Source organism: Homo sapiens, chromosome 2 (assembly GCF_000001405.40).
Source record: "Homo sapiens chromosome 2, GRCh38.p14 Primary Assembly".
Classification (NCBI taxonomy): Eukaryota; Metazoa; Chordata; class Mammalia; order Primates; family Hominidae; genus Homo; species Homo sapiens.
In genome coordinates this window covers 52,445,486-52,450,988 of record NC_000002.12, presented here as the reverse complement: position 1 = coordinate 52,450,988, position 5,503 = coordinate 52,445,486, and positions in this window count along the sequence as shown.

Sequence of the window (5,503 nt, the reverse complement as noted above, 5' to 3'; positions counted from 1 at the left end):
TAGAAAATCCAATCAAAACAACAGACAACCTATTGCAAATCATAAGAACATTCAATAAGATGACTGTTAACATAACTAAAATGTAGAATTAAAAACATTTTATATGACCACAGACCATAAGCAGTTATAAATGTAATGGTAGAAAGATTACATTTATAATATTCAAAGAAAAATAAAATATCAAAAACTAGACTTAACAAGAAAATTGCCAGACCTATTTTTTAAAGGCTTATACTTCAGTAAATAACATTTAAAAATATTTTGTATCATACTTTATGAAAATTCATTTTAAAAAATTCAGACACTGATCAATTGCTCAGAATATTATTTATTACAATATGTTTTTATAATTTTAGAGCAGGAAATCTGCAAATAATAATGTATTTCTGCAGTAAAATACTAATACAAAGCATAACGTCATAAAATGTTAAAATCTTAAAGATCTTTTCTTCAACTGAAAATCCACAGCATATAATGAATCATTATATTTTATGTTTCTCTGTAAGTAGCTGCTGTTCATCAAATTTCAAAAGACAGCTTATTTGTGTAGCCTATAGAAAGATGTTGACTTAAAAATAACAGCTGGTTTACATCTTTTTGTTATATCAATTCCACTCCCATTAGAGGTGAATTTATAATAATCTCATTGCTAAGATGGTAGGGGCAATAGCATTCCAAAAAGCTTAATTTTCCAACTGTTTTGTATATGTAACTGAAAAGAGGAGAAACGTGTGACCTTAGAAATGATAGGCTGCTAATGTCTTTACATGTGGGTTGTATTTGTTCACATTTTTTTATAGTATAAGAACAAAATGCTTGAAAATTCAATTTTTAAAATTCTGATAAACTGAGTTTGCCTTTTATTTTTAGAAATGGAATTACAATGAGGCTATGTATTTTTGAAATCCAAGTAAATCAAAATTTAGTATCTGGGACAAGGTAAATATTCATGGAGTCAAACTATAATTAATACATCACTCTAATTCAAATGCAAGATGTAATCAACTAATTAGACCCAGAGGAAATCTTTTCTTATTGTGCATAGAATATTCTAGGTACTGTAATAAATAAAAATTATAACCACTATTATTACTAGATATTTATTTAATGTAATTTATTGGTTTATGTTTGTCTTTTAAGACGCACTCTATGACAGTGAGGAAAGTACTGGCCGGGCATAGTGGCTCACGCCTGTCATCCTGGCACTTTGGGAGGCTAAGGCAGGCAGATCACTTGAGCCAGGAGTTTGACACCAGCCTGGTCATCATCGTGAAACCCTGTCTCTACTAAAAATACAAAAAATGGCCAGGTGCGTTGGCTTACGCCTGTAATCCCAACACTTTGGGAGGCCGAAGTAGGTGGATCACGAGGTCAGGAGATCGAGACCATCCTGGCCAACATGGTGAAACCCTGTCTCTACTAAAAATACAAAAAAAATTAGCCAGTCGTGGTGGTGGGTGCCTATAGTCCCAGCTACTCGGGAGGCTGAGGCAGGAGAATGGCGTGAACCCGGGAGGCAGAGCTTGCAGTGAGCTGCGATCATGCCACTGCACTCCAGCCTGGGGTCAGAGTAAGACTCCGTCTTAAAAAAAAAAAAAATACAAAATATTAGCTGGGAGTGGTGGCTCATGCCTGTAGTCCCAGCTACTGGAGAGGCTAAGGCACATGAATTGCTTGAACCTGGGAGGTGGAGGTTGCAGTGAGCCTAGATTGTGCCACTGCACTTCAGCCTGGGTGATAGAGTGACATTGTCTCAAAAAAAAAAAAAAAAAAAAAAAAAGACAATGAGGGAAGTACTGAATAAAATATGACAACACAATAAATACCTTATTGTTAACTATGCATAATGAAATATATGTAAAATCTTGTATAAAATGGGTTTTTGAATGGTGACATTCTGAATCACGCATTATTATTATTATTATTATTATTACTACTACTACTACTATTTTGAGACAGGGTCTCTCTCTGTCGCCCAGGCTGGAGTGCAGTGGCGCGATCTCGGCTCACTGCAAGCTCCGCCTCCCGGGTTCACGCCATTCTCCTGCCTCAGCCTGCCGAGTAGCTGGGACTACAGGAGCCTGCCACCACGCCTGGCTAATTTTTTTGTATTTTTAGTAGAGACGGGGTTTCACCCTGTTGGCCAGGATGGTCTCGATCTCCTGACCTCATGATCCGCCTGCCTCGGCCTCCCAAAGTGCTGGGATTACAGCCCTGAGCCACCGCGCCCGGCCCTCATGCATTATTTTGATTCAAATCTTAGGGATTTATATATACTCTGTTGGAAATTTTGGTTAGCAAACTGTTGGCCTAAACAAGTAATTGTAATATAACAGTAATCAACTACTCAACAGGGTTAGGCAGAACGTAACTCAACTAACTTTAGAATGGCTAAAATAAAGGTCATATGGAGTCACCACATGAAAAAGAGGTTAAAAGAGAAATGAGGAATAAAATATACATGAGATATATAGAAAACCAAAACTTCAATGGCAGACAAAATCAACTATATCAATAAGAACATTAATTGTGGTTTGGCTATTTACCCCACTCAAATCTTACCTTGAGTTGTAGCTACCATAATTCCCATGTATCATGGGAGGGACCCGGTAGGAGGTAGTTGAATCATGGGGATAGGTTTTCCCTTGCTGTTCTCATGATAGTGAATAAGTCTCATGAGATCTGATGGTTTTATAAAGGGGAGTTTCCCTGCACGTGCTCTCTTGCCAGCCACCATGTAAGATATGACTTAGCTTCTCTTTGCTTTCCACCATGATTGTCATGCCTCCCCAGCCGTGTGGAACTGTGAGTCAGTTAAACCTCTTTCTATTATAAATTTTCCATTCTCAGGTATGTCTTTTTTTTTTTTTTTTTTTTTTTGATACTGAGTCTCGCTCTGTCACTCAGTCGGGAGTGCAGTGGCGTGATCTCAGCTCACCGCAAGCTTGGCCTCCCGGGTTCAGGCCATTCTTCTGCCTGAGCCTCCCCAGTAGCTGGGATTACAGGCGCCTGCAACCATGCCCGGCTAATTTTTTGTATTTTTAGTAGAGACGGGGTTTCACCGTGTTAGCCAGGACAGTCTCAATCTCCTGACCTCGTGATCTGCCCGCCTCGGCCTCCCAAAGTGCAGGGATTACAGGCGTGAGCCACCACGCCCGGCCTCAGGTATGTCTTTATAAGTACTATGAGAACAAACTAATACAGTGAACATATTAAACAATTTAATCAAAAGGTAGAGATTGGAAAACTGAATTAAAAAAAAAAAAGATTCCAAAAATATGGAGACACAATTTAGATTTAAAGATATAAATAGGCTAAAAACAAAAGGATAGAAAATTATATATCATACAAAAAGCAAACATAAGGAAGCAAGAACAGCTTTACAAACATCAGACAAAATGGAGTTTAAGATAAAAATGTTCCTACAAAAAAGTAACACTTTATAATGATACACTTACCAGTAAATCTAGAAATAAAGTAATTCCATATTCACCCAAAAAGAACTCCAAAATTCATGGAGTCTGCTCTGACATAATTAGAGGGAAAAATAGACAATTCAACAAAAATAGTTGGAGAGTTTAATAACACACTTTCAAACATAGAAAGAGCCACTAAGTTTAAAATCAACAAAGAAATAAACATTTGCACAGCAGTCTAAACCAACTAGACTTGGAAGACTTCTGCAGAACATTCCACCAACAAGAGTGGTATACACTTTCTCATCAAGTGCATATGAAACATTATCCTGGATACACCATAAGTTAGCCTGTAAAGCAAGCCCCAGTAAATTTAAAGGAATCACAATCATACATAGTATGTTCTGCAATTACTTCCATTGTTCTAATTTCTATTGAATTATAAATCAACAACAGAAGTAAATTTGGGAAGTTGGCAACTATGTGGAAATTTAACAACATAATCTGTATAATTAATGAGTGAACAACAAAATCCCAAGAAAAATTAGATTATGATTTGAGTCATATGAAAATAAAATGAAACATGTCACTTTATGAGATGCTCCTAAAACAGTGTTTAGAAGAAATTTGTAGCATTAATGCGTATAATTTAAAAAAATCAAATCAATAAGTTAACTGTCTACATCAATATACTGGAAAAAAGAACAAAACAATCCTGGAGCAAACAGAAAAAAAGAGAAGCATAAAAGAGAAGTTAATGATTTATGGTATAGAAAGCAATGCAAGAGAAAACAAAATCAAATTTTCTTTCTTGAACAGATCAACAGGATTTACACACCTTTAGCTAGGTAGAACAAAAGAAGGACTCTCATTACTGTAGTCAGGAATGAAATTGGAGACATCGCTATTAATAACACAGTCATGATCAGGATTATAAAGGAATATTCTGAACAATTATATACCAATGCCTTAGATAACTTAGATACATTTCCATATCCTGAGAAAGACACAAATGCCAAAACTGACTGAAAAAGACAACAAAAATCTAAAAATGGCTACAACATGTAAGAAATTGAATTAGTAATTTAAAAACCTTTCTACAAAGAAAATCTCAGAACCAGGTAGCTTCAGTGATAAATTCTAACAAATATTCTAAAAATAATTAATAACAATTCTTAACAAACTCTTCCAAAAAATGAGAAAAGGAAATATGTCATAATTCATTCTATGAGGCCAATACTACTCTGATACCACAACCCAACAAAGACATTACAAGGAAAGAACAGTATAGACCTTATATTTACATATGCAAAAATCCTCAACAAAATATTAGCATACTGAGTCCAATAACATAGAAAAATGATAACATTATCACCAATTGGAATTTATCTCAGAAATATAAGGGTGGTTTAACATTCAAAAATTCATTAATATTAATATACCAGGTCTATAGAATAAAGAAGAAAAAATCTCATTAGACACAGTAAAAACTTTTCAGAGAAACCCAACATTCTTTCATCAAAATATAAATAAGTAAAGCTAGAATAAAAGGAAACCTTTTCAACCTGATAAATGAAATGTATAAAAAACCACAGCAAGCATAGCACTTAACACTGAAAGGTTGAAAGCTTTCCCCTTCAGATGAGGGATAAGACAAGAATGTCTGCTCTAGCTATTTCTGTCCAACATTGTACTGGAAGTTCTAGCTAGTACAATTTGGCAAGCAAAAGAAGTAAAAGGCATCCATATGGAAAAGCAAGAAATAAAGATATTTATGTTTGCAGAATTCTAAGGAATTCACTAAATACTGCTAGACCTAATATGAATTCAGCAATACTGCAGGGTACAAGATCAAAGTACAAAAATCCATCATATTTTTTCACACTGGGAATCAACTATGCATAAATGGACTTGGGAAAACAATTCCACTTAAAGTAGCATAAAATTTAAAAAAGCCTAAAAATAAATGTAACCAAAAAAGTGCAAAACTTGCACTCTGAATCCTATTAAATATAGTTGAAAGAAATCCTAAATTGAAAGATACCTTCTGTTTGTGGATGGTAGGACTTAATATTGTCAATATGGCA